Here is a 22866-nt window from a genome sequence, read left to right as displayed (position 1 = left end):
GTGGGAGCAGACACCTGAACAGGAGACTGGGAAAGGAATCTGGAGGGTGATGAGGACAGGACACAAGGAGAATAGTGTCAAGGAAGCCAGAGAAAAGAGGATGTCAGGGAAGAAGTGTGACCAGTATCACAGGCCAAAGAGAGGTGGTTGTGAGGAGCAAGTAGGTAAGGGTTTAGTATCTGATATAAATTTCTCATTGAATCCTCACAATAGATCCTCTACATTAAATTCAGTGACATTGATGAATTCATAAATGATTTTTCCTGACAAAAATGCTATTCAGAATGAATTCATTTATTCTAATAGTTGAATTGTAGGTTCTTTGGTATTTTCTGTGTGCACAACCATGCCATCTGCAAATAATGACGCTTTCATATCTTCCTTTCCAATCTGGAGGCCTTTTATTTCTTTTTCTTGCTTTATTGCAGTGGCTATGACCGCTAGTATAATCATGAATAGAAGTAGTGATAGCAAGCATTCTTGTCTAGTTCCTGATCTCAGGGGGAAATTTTTCAATATTTTACCATTAAATATACTGTTTGTTGCAAGTTTTGCTTATACATACTCCTATCAGACGTAGGAATTTCCATTCCCTTCTAAGTTTGCTAAGCGCTTTTACCATGACCTCAGAAAAGTTACTTAAACTGTAAACCGTAAAATGTCCACTGCTTTGGTGTTAAAATATCTGGTTTCAAATTCCAGCTGTACCATCTTCTAGCTGTGACTCTGGGCAATTTAATTAAGCTTCCTCTTATAGAAAACAGGGATAATTATAGTAACTCCCTCATAGGAATCTGAGACTTTTCATAAGTTCAAGAGCCCAAGAGGCTGGTTTTGAACCAGGACTAAGGTTTAACATCCAAAGCCCAGGCGCTTAGCTCTCAGATACTCTGCAGAGGCTGATGTTCCCCAGAGTCTTTCCATCTCCTGGTCCTCACTCAGGATTTGTTGGAACCCTTACGATGATGAATGGGAATGGATCCAAACTCTCCCATCCACAGTCACACTTTGCCACCCAGGACTAAGGGTACAGATTTTATGAATGATCAGTCCACTGTGATAGCCAGTCTCCAAAGATGCCCCTTCACCAAAGACCCATGCCTGTTGGTATTCACACCCTTGTATAATGCCTTGATTTTAAATCTGGGTGGGCTTGTGACTCTTTTGTAACTAATTGAATCAACAGAAGTAATACTGCATGATGTGTAAGGCTAGCTTCTGTCTTGGTCTTTTGGTTCGCTCTGCAAAATTGGGCCACCATGGAAGATGTGCTGCTACCCTAAGATCACCATGCTGGAGAAGCTACGGAAGGGCACCACATTCTACAGTTCCAGCTGGGCCCAGACTTCCAGCCTTCCCCACCAAAGCAGCACACATGTACATGAGGCTGATTTGGCCCCGTCCAGACCACATTCACCACCTGAGTACCACTGAGTGACTCCAGTTTACCCCATGTGGAACAGAAGAATCATCCATCTTTGTCCTGATGCAATTCCTGACCCATAAGACCATGAGATATATTGACATAGTTGCTACTGTAAACCACCAAGTTTTGGGATTGTTCGTTGGACAGCAATAGATAATTGGAATATCCACCTTATAGGTTTAGTCCTTAGTCTAGAAATGCACTAAGCAAGCCTGTCCAGTGTTCAAACCTGACACCCATCTTATGCAGCCCTATTCTACCTACTAGAGTTAACCAGATTCAAATAAACAGTATTTAAGTATGGAGAAAACAGTGCGAGAAGGAAGTCATTTCACTCTAAATGTCCTGCATGTTTTTGTGCCTTCAATCCTTCTATTAACAAGAAGGGCCTGGGTGCGGTGGCTCACGCTTGTAATCCCAGCACTTTGGGAGGCCGAGGAGGGCAAATCACTTGAGGTCAGGAGTTCGAGACCAGGCTGGCCAACATGGTGAAACCCCATCTCTACTAAAAACACAAAAATTATCCGGGCATGGTGCCTGTAATCCCAGCTACTCGGGAGGCTGAGACAGAAGAATCACTTGAACCCGGGAGGCAGAGGTTGCAGTGAGCAGAGATCGTGCCACTGCACTCCAGCCTGGCAATACAGTGAGACTCTGTCTCAAAAAAATAAAACAAACAAAACAAAACAGATAATCCTCATCGCAATTGATAGCACTGGTACTATCATGTCCAGTAGTTTTTTAAGGCTGAGGAAACAAAGGCTCAGAGAGAATAACTAACTTGCCCAATGTCACATAGCTAGTTAAATGGCAAAGTTAGGGCTGGAACTGCAAGCCAAGCTCTTTCTTTTTTATTTTGGTCTTGGTTAGGAAACTTTTAGTTGGCAATCAGGGAAATCCATTCATGGTAGTGCAAGGAAGAGAATGGAACTGACTGGAAGAACACAGGAGCAAAAGTGCAGCCAGGCCTCCCAGGGCCAGGACCCAGGCACTGAAATCGTGTCAGGAGCCTATGTTTGCCCTCTCTCTGGAGCCACATGTTTCTGAAGGAGCTCTATTGCACTTCGGCTTAATTTTTCCCTGCTTTTCTGCAGACTGGCTTTCCCTGGCCTGGCATACACAGACTCAAACACAATGGCTCTGTGGTCAGAACAGACTACATAATCTGCAGAGCCCAGAAAAAAATTAAAATGCAGGACCAGCCAGACACTGTGGCTCTCGTGCCTGTAATCTAGCACTTTGGGAAGCCAAGGCAGGAGGGTCACTTGAAACCAGGAGCTAGAGACCAGCCTGGGCAACACAGTGAGACTCTTGTCTCTACAAAAATAAATAAATAAATAAATAAATAAATAAATAAATAAATATTAATTAGCCAGGCATGACGGCATGTACATGTAGTGCCAGATACTCAGGAGGCTGAGGTGGGAAGATCACTTGAGCCCAGGAGTTCAAGGTTGCAGTGGGCTATGATAGCACCACTGCACTCTAGCCTAGGAGACAGAGCAAGACCCTGTCTCAAAAAAATAAAACAAAATAAAATAAGCGGGGCCCCAGGCAAAGAAATCAATCTCCCCTTCTTCCAGGCCCACTGCCCCAATCTATGGCAGTCAGGCAGCCTCCAAGAAATCACAACCTTCGTGCTGGGACACTGTGCACCTGGTGCACAGGTTGGGGAGAGGCCCCTGCCAAATGTGTGTGGCCTTGCCAGCCTGGGGAGGGAAGGCTACCACCTTGTCCCACCCCAAGATGCCATGAAACATATCTGACCACGACCCTGATCTTCCCAATTTTAGCACCGAGGCCCCTGCCAGGGACAGAGGGCAGTAGCAGTCCCAAGGCTAGGGTGGCGTGCGGGAGTCTGGGCAGGGCCCAGGGCTCTCCAGGGACTGGGGAGTGGGCATCTGTGGACCCATCTCAGGGAGGTGAGCCAGGAAGCAGCAGGAGGTAGGTCCCTGCATGAGCAGAAACAGCAAGATTCTGGTGTATGCCTTGTTGTCTCATCATACTTTACTCATAAAACATAGACATTGGCCGGGCGCAGTGGCTCACGCCTGTAATCCCAGCACTTTGGGAGGCTGAGGCGGGCAGATCACGAGGTCAGGAGATCGAGACCATCCTGGCTAACACGGTGAAACCCCATCTCTACCAAAAATACAAAAAATTAGCCAGGTGTGGTGGCGGGCGCCTGTAGTCCCAGCTACTCGGGAGGCTGAGGCAGGAGAATGGTGTGAAACTGGGAGATGGAGCTTGCAGTAAGCCGAGATCTTGCCACTGCACCCCAGCCTGGGTGACAGAGCAAGACTCTGTCTAAAAAAAAAAAAAAAAAAAAAGACATGGACATCATCATTTTACCCAGAATTTCTTTTCTTTTCTTTTTCTTTTCTTTCTTTCTTTTTTTTTTTTTTTTGAGACGGAGTCTCACTCTCGTTGCCCAGGCTGGAGTGCAGTGGCGTGATCTTGGCTCACTGCAACCTCCGCCTCCCGAGTTCAAGTGATTCTCCTGCCTCAGCCTCCCGAGTAGCTGGGATTACAGGCGTGTGCCACCATGCCCAGCTAATTTTTGTATTTTTAGTAGAGATGGGGTTTCACCATGTTGACCAGGCTGGTCTCGAACTCCTGACCTCAGGTGATCCACCTGCCTTGGCTTCCCAAAGTGCTGAAATTACAGGCGTGAGCCACCGCGCCTGGACTTTTTTCCCAGAATTTCAAGATGGTAGCTACAGAGCAATAACCCCAAGCATGGGGCCCATGTGACTGCACGGGTCGCTTGCCCATGGAGCCAGCCCTGTCCTGACTAACCAGCCTTCTCTCTCCCAATCCACTGCTCCCAGGAGAAAAAAATTGAACTAGCTTATCTGGTGGTAGCTACAGCTACATAGAAGCTGTTGGCATCCCGACCCCCAGCGACAGGGGTGTGAACCAGGACTAGACCCCAAAAGGTCTCTACTGAATCTTCTCCACCCACATGCTTAATGTTCTCATACTCTCTATGAGACTAGGAGCAGAGGTGGCCAGTTGCCTACACCAATATTCATCCCCTGCTCTTCCTTCGTAATTTGAGATAACAATGTACCCAAGCTAAAAGATGACATTTCTCAGTGCCATGGACTGAATATTCATGTCCCTCCCAAATTCGTATGTTGAAATCCTAACCCCAATGTGATGGTATTAGGACATGGGGCCACTGGGAGATAATTAGGTCATGAATGGTATTAGTGTCCTTATAAAAAAGACAGGAGAGCGTTTGCTTCCTCTCTCTGCTCTCTACCATGAGAGGGTGCGATGAGAAGACGGCTCCAGCAGGCCCTCAACAGACACCAGATCTGCCAGCACCTTGATTTTTCTTTTTTCTTTCTTTTTTTTTTTTTTTTTTTTTTTGAGACAGAGTCTCACTCCATCGCCCAGGCTGGAATGCAGTGGTGAGATCTCGGCTCACTGCAACCTCTGCCTCCTGGGTTCAAGCGATTCTCAGCACCTTGATCGTAATCTTGGACTTGCAGAACTGTGAGAATTGCTTTTTTCTTTGTTTAAACCACCCAAATTGGTAATTTGTTATAACAGCCTGAACTTACTGAGACATGCAGCTTCCTTCTTGCAGCAAGAGGTGGCCAGGCTGGGCACAGTGGCTCATACCTGTAAATCCCAGCACGTTGGGAGGCTGGGGAGGAGGACTGCTTGAGCCCAGGAGCTCGAGGCTAGCTAGAACAACATAGTGAGACCCCCGTCTCTATAAAAAATAAAAAATTAGCTAGGCATGGTGGTCCCAGCTACTTGAGAGGCTGAGGTGGGAGGATCACTTGAGCCCAGGAGGTCAAAGCTGCTGTGCGCTGTGATTGCACCACTGCACTCCAGCCTGGGTGACAGAGCAAAACCTTGTCTCAAAGAAAATAAAAAAAAGAGAAACAAAGAGGTGACCAATGAGATGTCAGTGGAAACCATTGGGTGGGACTTCTGGGAAATCTTTATAAAAGAGGCTGATGCAGCTGGGAGCGCCCCTTTCCCTCTCCTTGCTGCTAGGACTTAAAGCAGTGGGTGGAATGATCAGATGGAGGAGATGAGTTTGGGGAGGGGTGGGGCCCAACTGTTTATTGAAGGGTCCAAAAAGATCTGAAGGGTAGTTGGATGAGGAAGAGGACAGGATAGATATTAAGGAGAAAGACACTGCAGGATTTGATGGTAGGGGCTGTATCCTCTACCCTGTTTGCTTGTGTGCCAAGAAAAGTAGAATGTAAGCTCCATGAGGGCAGGGACCATGTCTCTTGCTTACCATTGCGTGCCTAGTACAGTGCCTGGCACAAAGTGGGCAATCAATAAATGTCTAATCAGTGAAGAATGAAAGAAACATGCTCCATACATCCCTTGGGGGCTTTACTCCTAATGGGAAGCAGGTTCAAGGGGTCAAGAACATCTATATCTTGGGGGCCCCTTGTATCCGGGGAATAATTCCTAAGTATGGTTTCTCTTGCATTGTGTGCACCCATCATCCCCACGCTTAGGCCCAGGCTGGAGTTTCTCAGGGCCTAAATGAACCACAGGAGTGTCTGCCTGCACCGAGCTTTTCCCAACTCTGGCTCCTGTGTGGTTCGAAGGCCAAGTTAATGCCACTGTTTCCACAACATCACTTCCTCTGCAGCGTGAGAAAAGAGGAAGAACACTTGCTATGTGACTCTCCTCTTCCCCCAGGGAAAGCACAAAGCTGTTGGAAACAATAAAAGCAGCCCTGTGTAAAGGGGAGACTTTTGTCTGTGCAGTCAGGGGTTGCTGCGCCTGCGACTTCCTGCAGGGATATTCGGCAGCTTTGCAGATAAATAAATGCTCACATTCAGAATGACCAGCCTAGAACACTTTTATGAGCCTTTTCTCCTCCCCAGGCTGTACACAGATAATAAATCAAATTAGCATCCCAAACCTCTGGTTCAGCATCACTTGTCACCAGCCCCCTCGGCATGAGGGGTGAGTTTTGGCAAGGTTGTTCTCAACTACAACCCAGCAATGTGGGATTGAGGCCTGTGACCTCCTTGGGAATCATCAGATGCTTCCAACCTGGGCTTGCCACAAGTTGAGGTCATGAGGTCTTGCTGGTCACTCCGGACCAGACTGTAAAAGAGGTGGCAGAGGCTGGGCGCGGTGGCTCATGCCTGTAATCCCAGCACTTTGGGAGGCCGAGGCAGGTGGATCACCTGAGGTCAGGAGTTCAAGACCAGCCTGGCCAACATGGTGAAACACCGTTTCTACTAAAAATGCAAAAATTAGCCAGGTATGGTGGTGCGCACCTGTAATCCCAGCTACTTGGGAGGCTGAGGCAGGAGAATCGCTTGAACCCAGGAGGCAGAGGTTGCAGTGAGCCGAGATTGCGCCATTGCACTCCAGCTTCAGTGACAAGAGCGAAACTCTGTCCCCCCACCCCCAAAAAAGAGGTGGCAGAAACCCCAGCCTTATAATCAAGATAGGGTCGTAACTTGGAGAATATATACATTTTCATTTCTCCATTAATAATCATAGGAACATGAGCAAAAATAGATAACTATGAGGGTAGGGAAAGAAAAAAGGAAGGAGTGAGGGAGGGAAGGATAGTAGTCAATAGATATTGGATGGATCAAATTGGAAAGGAGAAAGTTCACACTCAGGTAACATGAAGTGGAATTTGGCCTCATTTCAGGTTGCCCAACTAGTAACACAGGATAACTGGTAAGGTTTAGAAAATGAAGTAGGGACAGGGGAGATTTTCTAAACTTTACCCTACTTACTCCCACTATATGGTATGAACATCTATTCTACTGAGCTATCTAAATATAAGTGTTTTTAATGCATCCTTTCTTGGGCCACGAGAAGCAGTAGGACAGTACAGAGCACCAGTGGCAGCTCTTCAAATCACAGATGTGGTCCCACTGACTGGGATCGCGGAGCTGTCGGTTAAAGTAGATGACTGCCTACACTTCGAGATGCAACCTCACAGCTGGTGAGGGTTGAAGCCAGTTGCACAGGGTGGTCCGTGAATTCAAAAATAACCACAGAGATATAAGCCACGTTCCCCCGAGCCCCCACCAGCGGGTAGAAGGGAAGCCAACGAACCACGTTTGGCGGGTGTACCCTCCTCCTCTGCTGCTTATGTGTTCAGAATCACATCAATTGCAGTTCCAGGCTGCCTGACCCTGAGCAGAATCCTACAGAACAGGAACAGGGTTGGGAAAAAATGGCCGAGACCAAGTAGAAGCTGCTTTGGCTATGTGCCCCAGCAAGTTCAAATGACTACCAGGGTGGTTGGCTAGGGGATAGGGGTAGGAGATTAATATATTTTTGAATAAGAGTTTCCTGTTACCTGCGAACACTCAAAAAACAGCTAGAGGTTTTTATTTCTCTTAGGAAGAACAATGGTTAGGACTGTTTTCTCTCATCACTTGTCATCAATGATTCTGTCAATCATTTATTCTGACACCCATTCATTCCACAAATATTTATTGAGTGCCTACTATATGCCAGCCACAATGTTACACGCCAAATATACAGCTCTCAAGCAAACACTGGGTTTTGTAGACAGGTTTGTACTGTGGATACCAAGGTATGCACTGTAACATACTTACAGCATGTTTAACCACCCTGAACTCAGAGACCTGGGTTCAAATCCTCACTAAGTCACTTACTTAGCTGAGTAACTGAGCTTTACCCAGTTTTACACGACTGACCTTTCCCTATGCCTCAGTTTCTCACTCTGTAAAGTTGGAAGGCTTGTGAAGAACTTAGCACAGACCACGTGAGTAGGAGCTACCATTATTATTTAGCACAGTCCTCCACCCCAGCTCTGCCTGGTGCCACAGTCCACCGCTTGGTGGTATTTCCGAAGCTGGCCAGGCCCTCTGCTGCTGACCCTGGAAATCGGGTCACACTAGACAAGGCTGCATGTGCGGGGAGAAGGCGGGGGGGCTCCTTTGCACGCGGCTGCTCGCGTTTCCCCAAGGCCTCCAAATAGTCTAAAAACTCACCTCGGAGGAGGAGAAAGAGCGTGAAGTGGCTCTTTCGATCTGAGACACCCCCTCCCGGAGAACTCGCCCCCTCCCCCCCAGCCCAGAGCGGAGTGAAATCTTAGAAGCCGTGGCTGCTGGGTTTGAACGGAATGCTGGAGTCAGTGGAAGACGGAGCTGGTCGGCCCGAAGGTCAGCGAGTTGTTTTGAGTTCTCCTACCCGGAAGGTAGGGGGTGGGGTGGGGTGGGGAGCAGGGAGTAGAGGACGCCAGGGCCCCCGAGAGACCCCGCGTCAGAGCAAAAATTGTTTGTGCCCCGGAACAGGCAGCTCAGCGGAAGCCGCGACGGGGGCGGGTCACGTGCGGCGGTGGCGGCGCAGCTGGCGGGGGAGCCGGGCTGGGACAAGGGCCGGGCCGGGCGGGGGTGGCGCGGGGCGGCGGCTCTCGCAGCCGAAGGTGGAACCGGCTGACTCTGGGCGCTGGGAGCGAGCGGCTCCCCGAGCCCGGAGCGAGGGAGGAGCGCGAGTTATGGAGGGACCGGTGTGGGAGCCAGGGCGCGCGGAGCTCCGCGTGGTGCGGCACGGGCCGGACGAGGAATCGTTGGGGGGCGGGGGCAGGGACACGGAAGCGGGCTCCCGGGGCGAGAGCGGAACCGACGCGGAGGCTGCGAGGGCGTCTGAACCCCAAGAATGGAGTCGCCGCTCTTGTAGTCGCCGGCCTTGTTTTCTTCTTGCACGCAAATCCCGGAACGACCGGAACCGCCATCCCCGCCTGCGTCCCAGGGGCGCCCCATTACGCATGGCGGGGGGGCCCGCGGGGCTACTCCGGGAGGGGATCCGTGAGGCCGAGGCCGGGGAGGGCTGCGAGGTGGCTCGCGGGGGTGCAAGCCGGAGCGGGGCTACACACCACACAAACAGCCTCCCTTTCCCCCGGAAGAGCGGGCGAGGGAAGACGCGGGCTAGCTCTGGGGGCTCCCCAGGACTGTGGGAGCCAGGCGAGGACCGCAAGGCGGAAGGGAGTGCTGCAGACAAACCATCGGCCCCACCTGGAAGACATTGGTGGCCTCGTGGCCGGTGGTGAACGGTCTCACGCTTCCCCAAAGTGGCGTGCGCTACTCTAGCGTGGGAGGGAAAGGACACAAACTTGGCCATCTGCCAGAACCCTTGAAGACGCCTGTCTTTGGTGTCCCTCCGCCCCCCGCAGTGGCCCGAAATGTACTCTCCCTCCCGTAGTCCACGAGGTTCAGGTCCGAAACCTGGAAAAGTAGGGTAGCGTGGTCTGGCCTCGGACGGGAAACCCACCCACGTTCTTCTGAGGTGCCACGCGGGGAAGGCGCGGAACAGTCTTCTTGCAAAGTTTCCCGCCCCTCACCCCAGTCGAGTAAGGGCGGCTCTTCCGGAGGTGGGGGCGGGGAACGGTCTCGTAGCGGGGAGTGGTGCTAGTTCCTCTTCCCTGCGACCGCTCGGGCCGCCTGCGCGTTCGCGTCCCCAGACGCTGCACCCCAGTTTGCTGCAACGTCTGCTTGGAGTCGCGGTAGCGGGTGCTGCGCGGAGTCTAGGACGACGCGAGACGCCATTTGCATCCCCCCTCCCTCCTGCAGGTTGGCGAGGGCGGCGGTGTCGCCCGCCGCGGAAGCGTATTCCTGGCAGTGACACTGATTAGATGCTGTGTCGATACGTGCACAGAATCGGGGTGGGCCTTCACCTCTCGTGTGCGCACACACTTTCTGTTGGAAAAGTTGCGATATTTTTTCTCCCCCTCTCGCCGCACAGCTGCTGTCTCCCGGGCGGAATTAGGCGACCACGTTTGCTCAACCCGAAGGAGAGAGGATCGCGCGGGCGCTGGGCGGCCGCCGGGCCCGGGCCGCGAAAATCCAGCCCTGGCTTTGCGTCGAGCTGCTGAGTGCCGCGCTTACGCGCGCGGGGCCAGCCGGGGCCTGGTTTCCATCTGCCCCTTTTGCCTCCGTGTTAAGTTCGCCGGGGAAAACCCAACGATCCGTGCTGAGCCCCTCGGAGGAGAGCCCCCGCCCCACCCCACCCCCAGCCCGATCCCGACCGATGGAAAAAATGACAGTATAGGTCAGAACAGGCTGCCCGCGAGTATTAATATGGACGGCCTCCGTTCCTGGTGCTTGGGGAGGATGGGCGCTTCGCCAGGAAACCGCCGAAGGAGGCGCCATGAGGGCCGCCTGCCCCTTCTCGGGCTAGAAAACGTGGATTCTCAGAGGGACCAGACAAATGTGGTCAGATAGCTGCAGGAACTTACCCCATCTAAATACAGGTTGCCCGTGTATATTCCAACCAAGATCATTTTTGTTTCAATCTAATACACGTTGAATCAATTAGAAATACTGTGAGAAACTGTGGTCAAACGGTAGATAGGAAACTTGCTCTTTGCCTAACATTAAATGTATGCTCAGGAGGTGCGGGGCTGAGCACTATCGGCGCAGCCAGTCTGTGTCCTAAGAAGACAGGGTCCCCTTTGCGTTCCACCTTCCAGGACCTTAATAGAACGCGAAGAGAGGAATTATTTTAGTTGTAGTTTCTATTAGAGGGTTGCTTACTCCTTGCAAACTCCCGCCTGGGGTTGTCGGTAGTTAGTAGTAGATGGTTCTGCGTTTTGGCTTTTACAGTCCACGTTTTTCTCTTGGCTTTTTCTTTTCCTGCGTACACGCTGCTGGGTACGGGGAGGGGGCTGCCCAGACGTGTGCTGCCGCCGCCCTCGGGCTCTTTCTTGCGCACCACGCGGCCTCGGAGGAGGGGAAATGTGAACTCTCCGGGTGGCGCTCGAGAACTGGAATTCTGATTTAGGGCTGCGGGTTTGTTCCGGAGGCTGGCTGGGAGCGTCTTGTAGGGGCCGGAGGCTGTGAAGGGGAAGCCCCAGAGGTGACCCTGAGGCCTCAGAAGCAAACCTGGAGGCGCCCGTGTTCTTTGTCTTTCTCGGGGCTGGCAGCTTGGCACGCACAGTTCCGATAAGGATCTACTGAGAGCTAGAGCGCACTGCCAGCACATTTCAGTGATTAGGCAAACGCCGGTAGCCACTTAAGGCAAAGGCCATTTGCGTTGTGTTTGAAAAGGAAAAGGCAGCCTCACCTAATGAATTATGGGTGACCCTGGAGAGGCCAAGCAGGGGAGGCCGAGGCCTCCCTAGGCTCTTATTTGCCGCAACTCCTCCCCTTTTTGCCAGAGTCGCCATTTCAAAGGTAATGGGAAGCCTTTTGAAATTAGAAGTCTGACCGATTCTGTCTACAGAAGTGGTATTTGCATCTGTGCACCAGTAAAATGTGGCCCGCCAGCGGCCCAGGGACAAGGCCTGCCATACGCCAGCCCTGCACCAGTGTTAGACCAAAGTACATCCCAGAGGACATGGCTTTTGGCCAACTCCTCCGAGAACTGATTTAAAGAGGTGGCCTTCAGCCATCAAAAAAGGTGTCCTGGAAGAGTAGGCTGGAGGTCCTGGAAACCAGCGCTCTTCCCCAGGGCTGCAGGGAGAGAGTGGGTAATGGTGCCTGAGCCCTGACGGAACTTGCTATTAATCCAGTCTAAATGAGCACCATTAAAAAGGACTCTCCCTCCTATCCACCACCACACACACACAAGCCTTTATGGGACGGTCTAGTGGAGACCTAGACAGTTTGAGGGCATTTGGCCTTCACTTTTCAGTGGCCATACAATAGTGCCCTTTCCACCCTGCCAAGACCACTGGCTCCATGTAAACTTCCAGGAACTTTAACCCGGAACTTTGTACTCCCTACCCATCCAAAGGGAGTGCCAGATCATAGTAACAAACACACGTAGCATTGTACTGGAGGCAGCGTTCTAAGCACCTTATGTATGGAGGCATGTTATCCTCAGAACAACCCTACGAGGTAGATAATAGTATTGGTCTTATTTTACAGATGAGGACTCCGAGGTTTCGAACTGTTAAGCGGTTTGCCCAAAGCCGCACAGCTTGGGATAATAGGGCCTGGATTGACCAGAGGGAGAGATAGGGCCTGGATTGACCAGAGAGAGAAATAGGGCTGTGTTGCCTCTCTAGCGTTTTGTAATGAAAGTGATCTGTTTGGGGGTTGTTTCGAGAGGACTGCCTGGACCCCAACCTTCCAAAGGAAAATATGAAGAGACTAGAAGGCCCAACATTTGGCCTTTATTTTGCAAAAGAAAGTTCTGGAGAGTCGTACAGAGGCATCTTACTGTGGCTCCTCCGCGGCAAGGAAGGGGTCAGGGAAGGCAATGCAAAGGCCCCCCTGGCCCACCTAGCTGCATAGCATCCGGCGGTCACGTCCGCCGGAGGTGACTGGGGACTGGGGACAGCCGATTGCCGAGGAACTCCTTATCGCCCAGTGTCAGTGCTCCCGGGTGCCGGAGCTAAACGTCCGCCTGCGGGGGCGGCTAGTTCACACCAGTCCCCTGGCTCCCGACGCGCCCCCGGGCTTCTCCCGCGGAGCTGGCTAGATGCCCGGCGGCGGCTCCGAAGCTCCGGGCTCCCCGCCGCTTGTCCCGCCAGCCCGAGGCATGGAGCCCCACGGCCCAGGACTGGAGAGCCCAGTTCGTCAGTCCAGGTTGGGACTGCTGGTTCCGGGTTGCTCACGATCACTCTCCCCTCAACACCCGTCCGGCCAGGGCGCGCGCGCAGACACATAAACACACACGGCTTCCAAGCGCGCAGCCCGCCTCCCGGGCCTCCGCTTTTCCTTCCTCCTCCCCGCTCGGGCGCTTCGGAAGCCCGTGGCGGTTGTGTGCTGCGCCAGGGAAGAGTCCGGGTCGGGGAGACCGCGCTGCCCTCTTTCCCCCCAAGGTCTGCGCGCACGCTAGTATCCTTAGGAAGCACAGTCAGGCTTGTGGGTTCCCATCTTCCCGGGAAATGACGGCTGCTGGCGAGGACCTGTTCGCTCCGTGTTTCGCAATGGCCCGGGGATCAGAGGAGAGGACCGGGCGGTGGGGCCTGCGCGTGGATGAGGGTGGCGGTAAATCCCCTCTCCCGCGAAGGTGGCTGAGCCTCCGGCCACCGCTAGTAGTAGTCTACCCTGCTCGTCTTGCATTGGCCGCAGCTTGACTCCCCTGCGTGCCGCGGGTCGGTGTGGGTGTCCCCACTCCCTCAAGCCTTTACTTTCAGCTCGCGAAACCCCATGGATCCGCGGCTGGGCTGGGCAGCGCAGACGCCCAGCTGCCCTCGCCAACCCCAGGCCCAGAGGGGGCCAGGCTGGCCTGGGGGCTGGGCGGCCCGGCTGCACTTGCCGGCGTTGAGAGAGGCTCTGTGAGCCGGAGCCGGCCGCCGAGCCGAGGGAGAGAGCGCATCAGCCCGCGCGCCTTAAGGCAGAACACACGCCTTTCCCGGAACCTTGAAACCCAGGGGAGCCGCTGCCATCTTCGCGTGACGAGCAGCGAGACGCCGGTGATTAAGTGTTTCTTTCCGGCTCCCTCTCCGGGTTGCGGCTCTCCTCCTTTCCACAGGGCTGGAAGAATAAAAACCTGGGGAAAAACCACACACAACTGCGCTCTGGTCTCGCTCGCCATGTCCGCACTGGTTTCTTAGGGTGCGCCCACGCGGGGCACCCCCTGCTCCCCTACTCCACGCCTGGCCGGGGTCGAGGGCTGCGTGCCTCGGTTTCCATCCGCTCTAGCGCAAATCTCGGAGTTTAATGGGGAGGGGGCACACATTGCTGAAGCCACCCGACCCCCATTCTCCTTACGCCCCCCCCCCATGGGGATTAAACCTAAACACATGAATCCCCCACCCATACCCGGGACTAATCCAGCCGCGCCTCCTGGGATTAACTCGGCTCACAGGTCCATAAAACACTTCCGGCGCGGCCAGAGGGTCTGTCTGCAGAAACACTTTAAAATTGTCCTCCCGGGCCTGGAGTCGGAATTGACTGGGTGGAGGGAAGTGAGTAAACAGACAGTTGTAAGAGACAATCCGTGAGGTTTGCAGGCTGTGAAAAGAGCTGCTTAAAATATGGGCTGTCGGGGTTGCCTCCAGCAGGAGGGTGGCCCGGGTCCTAGCAGACAGATCCAAGAAAAGGATGCAATATATTCTAAATGACATTGACCTGGAGGAAGGAGGGTGTAGGCAGGAGCAGGCTGGCTTCACATGGCTTCTGGCTCCAGTTCAGTGAGGAAGACTAGCTTCCAGAAATTTGTGGGGGCGAGTGGCCAGTCTCTTCATGTGTAAAATCAGAACAGTAACACCTACTCTGTCCCCCTCGGATGGGTTTCTGAGGACCAAAATGTGAAGGCACTTTGTAAATGCGGCTCAACCCTTCTGCTTCACTGTGGTTAATGTTCAGTCTCTCTTAGGTAGAAAAACCAGTGACTTGCTGATTAGAAAACAAAGTAGAAATCAGCCCTTTCTCAAATCTACGCAACAATGTTCGAGATAAAGGGAACCCAAAAGCAACCTAATATTTTGAACCTCCTTTTACATCATTTCGAGATAAGTTTCTGAAGTAATGAGAGAATCTTTGGAATGTTCTAAGAAAATCTGTCAAAAACTGGAGGTTAATGGGGAAGAAAGGGAGGCTTTAAATTGGGTCAAATCACATTTTAAGAAGGCTGGGCGCGGTGGCTCACGCTTGTAATCCTAGCACTTTGGGAGGCGAGATGGGTGGATCACGTGAGGTCAGGAGTTCGAGACCAGCCTGGCCAACATGGCGAAACCCCGTCTCTAGTAAAAATACAAAAAATTAGCCGGGCAAGGTGGCGGGCGCCTGTAATCCCAGCTACTGGGGAGGCTGAGGCAGAATTGCTTGAACCCGGTAGGCAGAGGTTGCAGTGAGCCGAGATCGTGCCACTTCACTCCAGCCTGGGCAAAAGAGCGAAACTCCGTCTCAAAAAAAAAAAAACCAAAACCAAAACAAAACCGGAAGAAGAATATAAATTTATAGTAGCTTCCTGGCTATATCCCCTTCTGTTAGTCTGCAGAAGAGATGCCCGTTGGTAGCCATTCCCCCAGCCCCAGGACCGAAGGACGTCTTGACTCAGGCTTGGTCTGCTAGGTGCAAGGTGTTGTTGGCGTCTGGGGTGGGGACAGTGAAGAAAGGCGATCATTTTGCTTTAAATGAACATCAGAAGACCCAGGCCTGCTACTGCGTCTTGAAGGCCTGGAGTTGTTAAAACTCTGTGGGAGGGGGTGCCTCGTGACCTCCTTCCTCGCAGATGGGCTCAGGCAGCGTGACCGGCCCCAGGTGGTGCCCAGGCGCGCTGGGGATGGAGGCCCAGGCTGCGCGTTCACCCTGCCTCGCAGATAGCGAGTAGGGGCCTCCGGCTGGACCGCCCACCGGCCTTACTCTCCCTTCCCTGGCCTTGGGGCCTTGGACCAGGGTTAACCCTGGTCCCGTCTCCACCTCATTGCCCCCCGTGCAGCGCCGTCCCCGCCCTGGCTCCCGGCCCAGATCCCGAGGCCTCCCTCGCCCAGCAGTCTCGGTTCTTCCCCCTCGTGATTCATTTAGCAGCGGTGCAGAAAGCCTGTTTACCTCCGCAGCCCTGGGCGACTCGATCTGCGTAAAAAGCCCCAACGCCAGCTCCGACCAGTAGGGGGGGGATTGTCCTATAGATTATTTCTCCTCCTGGTTTTTGTTTTTGTTTTTTTTTAAACCAGAAGGCTTGGTTGAAGAGGGGGTGGGGTGGCGTGTTGCTGCTGTTTTTTAAAACACCGTATTTGAAAGAGAAACAAAAGCCACACAAAAGCCGTTTAGGAGGTACCAAGACTGTTTTTACATATAAAAAGTGCAGCGAATACCAAGGGGCCCCCAACAGTGATAAACTAAATGGTTGGCCGATTTCGACAATTAACAGTTAATCTGTTATCTGCGATCAGCAAACAAGTTTTGAGGCTCGAAGGACACCGAATTCCTGTTCCAGTCGATAGCGTTGTACTCGAATCTGTTGAGCACATCAGATGCTCCCTGTTTCTCCTAGAGCGAATCCAGCTTTAGCAAACATGGGTTTCCCAGGTTGAAGGACCGACTTGAGCCAGAGAAAATTCTCTTGTGCAGCTGAGGAGCCTCTGTCTGCATCGCCCCTCGAGCCCGAGCTCATCTGTTTGGTTTAGATTTCTCCAAATTGGTTTTCACCCCGATTTCGCGGACCTCCTAATTTTGCACGTAATAGGCCTCCGATAAATGTGTACTGAATGGCAGAAACTAAAGTGAGGCCCTCGGCCTGGAAGACGGCCTGACGCACGGCCTCGCCCTTGGAACCCCACTCGGGTTCCCAGAGCCCCCAGGCCGCTGCAGCCTGCGCGCAGCTTCGCCCTGCGCCGGCCAGGGCGGGCGGGCGGGGGAGGCCAGGAGGCACGAAGCGCCTGGAGCCTGCACGATGATAAATATTGCGCAGACAGCCCATAAATAATTTGCATTATGTTCAGCTGACAACGCGGGGCGATTAATTTTAATAGCTACATATTTGCCTGGGCTGCTGCTTTCGTAGGCCCCGTAATGAAAGGCGAGAGGCCGCCCTGGCTCCGTGCTCGCGGTCCAGGAAGGCAGCCGGGGGTGCGGGAAGGCCCGATGTGGCGTCTCCTCCAGGCAGCCCCCCGGGGAGCCCCAGCCCCTTGGCCCCCCTCTCGCCCTCCGTGCCTTGTGGAGGTGAGGTGTGCGCGCACCGCCGGAGCACCCCCGAGGCCTCGAGCAACAGGAGCCACCATAATGACACTGCACATTTGTCTGTGTGGGGAGAGCCACTTGTGGACTGGGAGACCCTCCACGTAGCTTTGTGCCCCACCCGGACCAAGTCCGGAGTTTCAGGTTCCACTTAGGCTAGGAGGGGGGTGTTTGCCGCCGCCAATTCGCCAGTGGGCCCCAGCTCGGCCGAGGCTTCTCCGCCCTCCCGGCAGAGGCAAGAGACAAAACAAAGCCCGGCTGTCCCCGCGTCCTCTCCGCGCGTGTAGGGTCCTGAGTTCTGCCTCCCAGGAGCTGTCCGGCGCTCCGCGGAAGGCCCCCCTAAAATGCTTCCTGAGCTCCTTGATGCAAAAGGACCGCACACATAAAGGACGGAAGAAAAGAAAGGGTCTGGAGGAGCTCTTTAAAAGAGGGGGCAGGGAAGGAAGCGCAGCGAGGAAGGACGCGGCTGCCGCGGTCCCGTGGTGGCCGGGTGCGCGCGTGTGCGTGTCTGTGTGTGCGTTCCGATGACAAAGCCCCGCCGCCGCCAGCAAGCTCCTGGCTGCCAGAGCTCTGGTGGGGGAGGGGAAAGGGAGGAGAGGAGCCAGCGCTAGCGTAGGTAGCGGGGAATCGAAGCTTCCCAGGAGAAAGAGTTCATTCATGAGCTGTAGGAGGCCTCGCGGCCCGGCCAGGTGGAGCCTCCTGAAGCCAACACCTGTGTATTTTCCTTTTTGGAAACAGGCGAGCCCATCGATCATTACCATATTTTAATTGCCTTTCGCAAAGGTCATCTCTAATTATGGGTTGCGAGGAGGGTTGGTCAGGAGTCCGTGGCCCTTTATTATCTGTGTGGGTGTGTGTGTGTCGCCGCAGAGACAATGCGCCCAGCTCTTATAGAAATGCCAATCCGAGGGTGTCCGTGCGCGCCTGCGAGGCGGTCACGACGTGCTGGATCCACGCAGACCAGGCTGCGTGCACAATAAAAGCCGAGCAGGCGGCTGAGGGCCGCGCAGACCCACGGGTTTTCTTTTTAGAAACAGTGGTGCGAAGAGACTTGACAATAATAACACGCAGCAGGATTAAATCAGGGCGGGAATAAGGAAATGTATTTTCGTTTCTAGAACCGCGGACTGTGTTTAACCCATCCGATCCTCCCCTCCCCAGAGCATTTTGTGCACACGTGGAGTTCCGCGCAGGGACAGGCGCCGGGCACAGAGTGGCTTGGGACTGCCCGATGACGTTCCAGGGCAGCCACGTTACGTTCATATTAATCTCTTCCCTTAATTCGGCATGGTTGTCAGTTACAGTGACGTGAAACAGCCTTAACGATGTCTGTTTTATGGGAAACAATACCTGGCTAGTTGAAAAAGAGAAAGCAAACGTTGAGGTTTTTTAACTTTTGAAAGTTTGCATTTCCTTAGTTTTTATCACTGTCAGAAACCCTTGTGGCAAAAGCCTATTTTAACTTCCTCCGAGGGAGAAGAGCAGTGGAGAAGGTAGATGGAGGGTCAGGGGTTCTTGGGAGGATATTTTGGAGATGGAGGGAGGTGGAGATCAGTGAAGAGCTGTGAGTCAGGGGTGGTCAGCAGCCACTCTGAACTTGATTTTCTCAAAGGAGCCTGGCACTTCTGAGCCCCGATGCTGTTTCTGGTAGTCCAGCCTGACAAAGTCAGAGGCTGGGGTCAGGAGCCTCAGAGAGTTGGAGAGTTTTGTACTGGTCCTGCTTCCTGCCTGCCCCCACACCTGGCCTCCTGGCCTCACCAGCAGCCAGCTCTGCCCTGAGGAAGGCAGAGCCAGATGACTGGTCCAACCCCCCAGAGACCGCCTGGCTTTCTCCTCCCCTGTAATCATAACCAGATGCACTTAAGCGCCTTTCATCAGAGGAAGCCCAAAGCCCTTTAACAGGCTTCAATAAAAGCCTTTTGAGGGCCTACCAGCCTGCTCAGCGTTGGGGCCCCTGTGCCCACTTTCCACCTGAGCCAGCCTGGGGCTGCAGTCAGGGTCTAGCCTCTCCCCTGGGGCCCCAGAAGCCAAGGAAGTTTACTCAACTAAGGCAACCTCTCCAAGCAGGTAGGGTGCCAAGATTCCTGCCAGGTGTGTGGGTTCAGACCTCATTAACAGGAGGAAAGAAAGGCATGGGAGGGAAGCCAGCAGCTAGTGTCTGTCTTAAGGAAGGACAAGAAGGAGCAGCCTATGAGAAGGAACCAGAGGGGCTAGGAAATAGAGCCGGGGTGAAGGGGCAGTGATGATGGAGATGTTCACAAAGACTCCCATGGTACTTCCACCAACCCGAATTCAGAGGTCAGAGCTGCTGTCCCACTGTGTTGCAGTCTGTCTCCCTTACTAAACTGTGAACTCCCTAAGGGGAGGGACTGTCTTATTCACCTTTGCAGGCCCGGCCCGGGACCTGGCACAAAATAAGTAATCAAGATGGGAGATCACAAGCTACGATGGAAAACTCTGGATCAAGATGCATACGGGCTTAAGATGGGAGCTCTGCCCCCAGTGGTTGTGTAGCCTATCTGAGCCTCAGTTTCCTTATCTACAAAATGGGTATGAGAATGCCTACATCAAAAAATTGGAGAAAGATCCGATGAAGTAGTTGCAGGTGAAGCACCAGGAAGATGATAATAAAGTTTTTAATAAATACTGTGCCCTAGCTGGGTGTGGTGGCTCAGGCCTGTAATCCTAGCTACTCGGGAGGCAGAGGTGGGAGGATCACTTGAGCCCAGGAGGTCAAGGCTGCAGTGAGCTGAGATTGTGCCACTAAGTGACAGAGTGAGACTCTCTCAAACAAAGCAAAACTAGATAGATAGATAGATAGATAGATAATCTCATGCCCTTGCTCTTGAAGGAGTGAAGAGAGGATTTGGACTGATATTGTTTGAATTGTAAGTAGGAAGGTTTGTGTTACACCCTAGCTAGGCACAGGTCTCTCTGGCCTGGGATTTGGATCAGAAGAAGGAATTGTTTCTAAACTGTGTGAATTGGAGCCACAGGACCCCACTGCACTGTCCAACAGGGCAAGCAGCTCCAAAGCTGTGAACTTGGGAAGCCAAGCCAGCCTTGGTCTCAGGCTCTGGGGAAGGGGCAGGTCCTAGACCCTTGGACTCTCCTGCACAGGGCTGGTTGTGGCTGGGGCCTAGTTGTGCACTGCGGACCAGGCTGCTGGAGATGAGTGGCTGGCAGATAATCCCAGTTGGTGCTGGCTTTCTGTGGTCAAGAGGAGAACTGCCCCTTCAGCTTTGACCTCTGCTCCAGTAATCATGGCTGTATTTTATTTTTGGCGGGTTCATCCTCTGGCATTTGGCAGGGCGGGGAGGGGAAGCGGGGTTGCCTGCGTCTCTTTGCTATTCCTTCTGGTCTGCTCAGTAGCTCCCCACCTCTCATCCCCCACCCCACCCCACACAATGTGGCCTGGTTTTCTCCCCATTGCAAGCTGCTTTATCATTTTTGCCTGTTCCCTGGCTGCTCTGCTTGTTTGAGAGTGGGGGTAAGACCTGGGCTCTCCCCATTCCCCTCCTCGGTCCATCACATTCCAGATGTCTTTCAGCCCCTCCTCCCATCTCCCTGAGCTTGGCACTTCCCCAGGAGGGCAGCCTGAGGGTCAGGGTCCATGGGCCGCCTGGGCATCAGGGGCCTGTGAGTGCCTGGCTCAGAGAAGGAGGAAATGGTGGGGGACAGAGGCCAGCTGCACTGCTGCACATTCCTAGCTTTGTGAATGGAAGCTCATGGCATTTGGTGTGTGACACAAGTCTGGTAGTCGGGGTCAGAATGAAAAGGTGTGGGATTTGTAGGGGAATTGGGAAGAAAATGAAGTAAGCTAACACTTCTTGCATAATTCATCCCTCCCTATCCCTGAGATGAGCACCCTCCAGGAGAGGCAAGAAAAACAAGAGAGAAGAGAAGAGAAGGGAGAGCAAAACCAGCCTGGTGGAAATGCTTTGCCCCTCTCCCTTCCTGCCTAGGGAACTGGCTCCCTTGTGCAGCCAATGTAGGTCAGGAGGGGACAATAGTTAGGGTCCTTTACCCAGATCCTCTAGGGAAAATGTGAGATCAGATTTGAGGAAGACACAGGTCACTGTCCTACAGGGATTTCAGAAAGAATAAGACACTGCGTTATCAAAGGTGGGGGATTTGGGTTATGATCAGAAATTTCCTTAAAAAAAATTTCCTGCCTGTCACACTTTTGTTTTTAACCCAGTTCACCTTCTTCCATGGATTTAGCAATAAGTTATGAAATTGATCTCTTCCCCTATAGCATGTCAGCTACAAGGGAGCTCAGAAGCAATTTAATTCTGCTCCTGGAATCTGTGGGTCCAGAATTTGGTGGACTCAACAGCTGGAGGCTGGAAGCATCCGGAGGGGTCTTTACTTTATGTCTGGCTGTTGGCTGGGACCTCAGCTGTGTCCCATAGCATGAGCACAGGGCTCTCTATGTGGCATGGGCTTCCTCACAGTATGGTGCCTTGAGGGTAATAGGACTTTAAGTTACAAATCGGCAGCTCAGGGCTCCAGAAAACCAGCATTGCAGTAAATAAGGCTGAAGCTGCATCACCTTTTTTTTTTTTTTTTCTGAGATGGAGTCTTGCTCTGTCGCCCAGGCTGGAGTGCAGTGGCACCATCTCGGCTCACCGCAACCTCCGCCTTCCAGGTTCAAGAGATTCTCCTGCCTCAACCTCCTGAGTAGCTGGAATTACAGGCATGCACCACCATGCTCGGCTAATTTTTGTATTCTTAGTAGAGACGGGGTTTTAGCATGTTGGTCAGGCTGTTCTCAAACTCCTGACCTCAGGTGATCTGCCTGCCTCGGCCTCCCAAAGTGCTGGGATTACAGGCGTGAGCCACCGTGCCTGGCCCGCTGCATCACCTTTTCTAATCCACCCTTGAAGTCTATATTCATTGGTTGCGATTGTGGTCACAAACCCATCCAGATTCAAGGGGAAGGGACAGAGATCCTACTTCCACTTGGGAGGAGTGTCAAAGAACTTGTGGCCATGGTGGGGTGGGGGTGGGGGTGGGAAGGTGGTAGGGGAAGCCATACCAGGCACCTTTGAGAGCTAAGCTTAATTAGCAGTAGCTCTAAACAGACTAGTCTACATTGTAATAGGGGTTTCTACCCTCAAGAGGCCTCATAAATTATATGGGGGCAGGGGGACTCAGAGAGCTAAAATTAGGCCAGGGTAAAAGAAATAGAGCCTATAAAGCAAATATGGATTTTAGGAAAAATAGAAAATATATCAAGACAGCTGTCTCTATGATCTTGTCCAATGTGGGAAGGACTGAGGGAGAACTGAGTGGTGGGATCAGATGGGTTTTAGGCTCTTCTGCATTGAAAGGGAAGCAGGTAAAAGATTAGCATTCTATCTGCCGCCATCCTTAGCCTACTGTCTTGGGGAAGATCTAGTAACCCTTCATCGCTCCCAACAACATTATTTTCACTATTGCCTTATAAGTCACCGCCCCCTCTACCACCAGTATACAGCTATCTTTATATGGTACAAAGCTAGGAATGTAGTCAATGCATTTCCTGTAGTGTGTATGGAAAAACAATTAATACTTACTATTTGTGCCCTCCCTGAGGTGTGGTTTTAAATATCCAGCATGGATAGTGTTGTGACTGAAAGGGCCTGGGTACATCTCTAGGGCCCCAGGTTCCCATTATCCTTGTCTCTAACCCCTGAATGGAGAGTTTGACTTCTAATTTCATGCTAGAGGTTTCACGGGCATAATTGTATTTGCCTCTGCCTTTGATCTGCTATTTGATCTGCTAGTTTATTGTGGGTTCGACTAGGAGACACAGATAGAAACGTGGTGGAAAACATGATTTTGTTTTGCTTGGGAATTGGCAGTTATTATTTTCTATGGCTCCCTTAACATGAC

At 52.6% G+C, this 22866-nt stretch overlaps 1 protein-coding gene across 8 annotated transcripts in view, besides 10 other annotated features; it reads left to right on the top strand.

Moving 5' to 3' along the window:
• Positions 3272-3451: a silencer, noted in NCBI's record as "fragment chrX:40041386-40041565 (GRCh37/hg19 assembly coordinates)". NCBI's record gives its function as "represses an EF-1alpha promoter that drives an FKBP-Casp9 reporter gene in an ReSE screen in phorbol 12-myristate 13-acetate-treated (for megakaryocytic differentiation) K562 erythroleukemia cells {active_cell/tissue: K562(+PMA)}" and the evidence as "EXISTENCE:reporter gene assay evidence [ECO:0000049][PMID:32094911]".
• BCOR (BCL6 corepressor) overlaps positions 8307-22866 on the top strand; it is a 126032-nt gene continuing 111472 nt past the window's right edge. For 4 of the 8 annotated variants that reach the window (XM_047442223.1, XM_047442205.1, XM_047442213.1 and 1 more), the window contains exon 1: positions 8307-8612. The gene's annotated coding sequence lies outside the window, so the exon portion shown is untranslated. The remainder of the gene's footprint in view (positions 8613-22866) is intronic. The other 4 variants (NM_001123384.2, NM_001438207.1, NM_001123383.2 and 1 more) reach the window with 1 other exon arrangement.
• Positions 8659-8858: a silencer, noted in NCBI's record as "silent region_20761". NCBI's record gives its function as "represses an Ori minimal core promoter by ATAC-STARR-seq in GM12878 lymphoblastoid cells {active_cell/tissue: GM12878}" and the evidence as "EXISTENCE:reporter gene assay evidence [ECO:0000049][PMID:35858748]".
• Positions 9119-9208: a silencer, noted in NCBI's record as "silent region_20760". NCBI's record gives its function as "represses an Ori minimal core promoter by ATAC-STARR-seq in GM12878 lymphoblastoid cells {active_cell/tissue: GM12878}" and the evidence as "EXISTENCE:reporter gene assay evidence [ECO:0000049][PMID:35858748]".
• Positions 9229-9278: a silencer, noted in NCBI's record as "silent region_20759". NCBI's record gives its function as "represses an Ori minimal core promoter by ATAC-STARR-seq in GM12878 lymphoblastoid cells {active_cell/tissue: GM12878}" and the evidence as "EXISTENCE:reporter gene assay evidence [ECO:0000049][PMID:35858748]".
• Positions 10639-10688: an enhancer, noted in NCBI's record as "active region_29537". NCBI's record gives its function as "activates an Ori minimal core promoter by ATAC-STARR-seq in GM12878 lymphoblastoid cells {active_cell/tissue: GM12878}" and the evidence as "EXISTENCE:reporter gene assay evidence [ECO:0000049][PMID:35858748]".
• Positions 13415-13494: a silencer, noted in NCBI's record as "silent region_20758". NCBI's record gives its function as "represses an Ori minimal core promoter by ATAC-STARR-seq in GM12878 lymphoblastoid cells {active_cell/tissue: GM12878}" and the evidence as "EXISTENCE:reporter gene assay evidence [ECO:0000049][PMID:35858748]".
• Positions 13515-13574: a silencer, noted in NCBI's record as "silent region_20757". NCBI's record gives its function as "represses an Ori minimal core promoter by ATAC-STARR-seq in GM12878 lymphoblastoid cells {active_cell/tissue: GM12878}" and the evidence as "EXISTENCE:reporter gene assay evidence [ECO:0000049][PMID:35858748]".
• Positions 15082-15772: an enhancer, noted in NCBI's record as "H3K4me1 hESC enhancer chrX:40029065-40029755 (GRCh37/hg19 assembly coordinates)". NCBI's record gives its function as "activates a minimal SCP1, AML or CMV promoter by ChIP-STARR-seq in primed H9 embryonic stem cells {active_cell/tissue: H9 hESC(primed)}" and the evidence as "EXISTENCE:reporter gene assay evidence [ECO:0000049][PMID:30033119]".
• Positions 15300-15499: an enhancer, noted in NCBI's record as "active region_29536". NCBI's record gives its function as "activates an Ori minimal core promoter by ATAC-STARR-seq in GM12878 lymphoblastoid cells {active_cell/tissue: GM12878}" and the evidence as "EXISTENCE:reporter gene assay evidence [ECO:0000049][PMID:35858748]".
• Positions 15773-16463: an enhancer, noted in NCBI's record as "OCT4-NANOG-H3K4me1 hESC enhancer chrX:40028374-40029064 (GRCh37/hg19 assembly coordinates)". NCBI's record gives its function as "activates a minimal SCP1, AML or CMV promoter by ChIP-STARR-seq in naive and primed H9 embryonic stem cells {active_cell/tissue: H9 hESC(naive and primed)}" and the evidence as "EXISTENCE:reporter gene assay evidence [ECO:0000049][PMID:30033119]".

The sequence above is a fragment of the Homo sapiens genome, chromosome X (genome assembly GCF_000001405.40).
Source record: "Homo sapiens chromosome X, GRCh38.p14 Primary Assembly".
In the NCBI taxonomy this organism is placed as follows: domain Eukaryota; kingdom Metazoa; phylum Chordata; class Mammalia; order Primates; family Hominidae; genus Homo; species Homo sapiens.
This window is presented reverse-complemented; position numbering and strand designations above follow the sequence as displayed.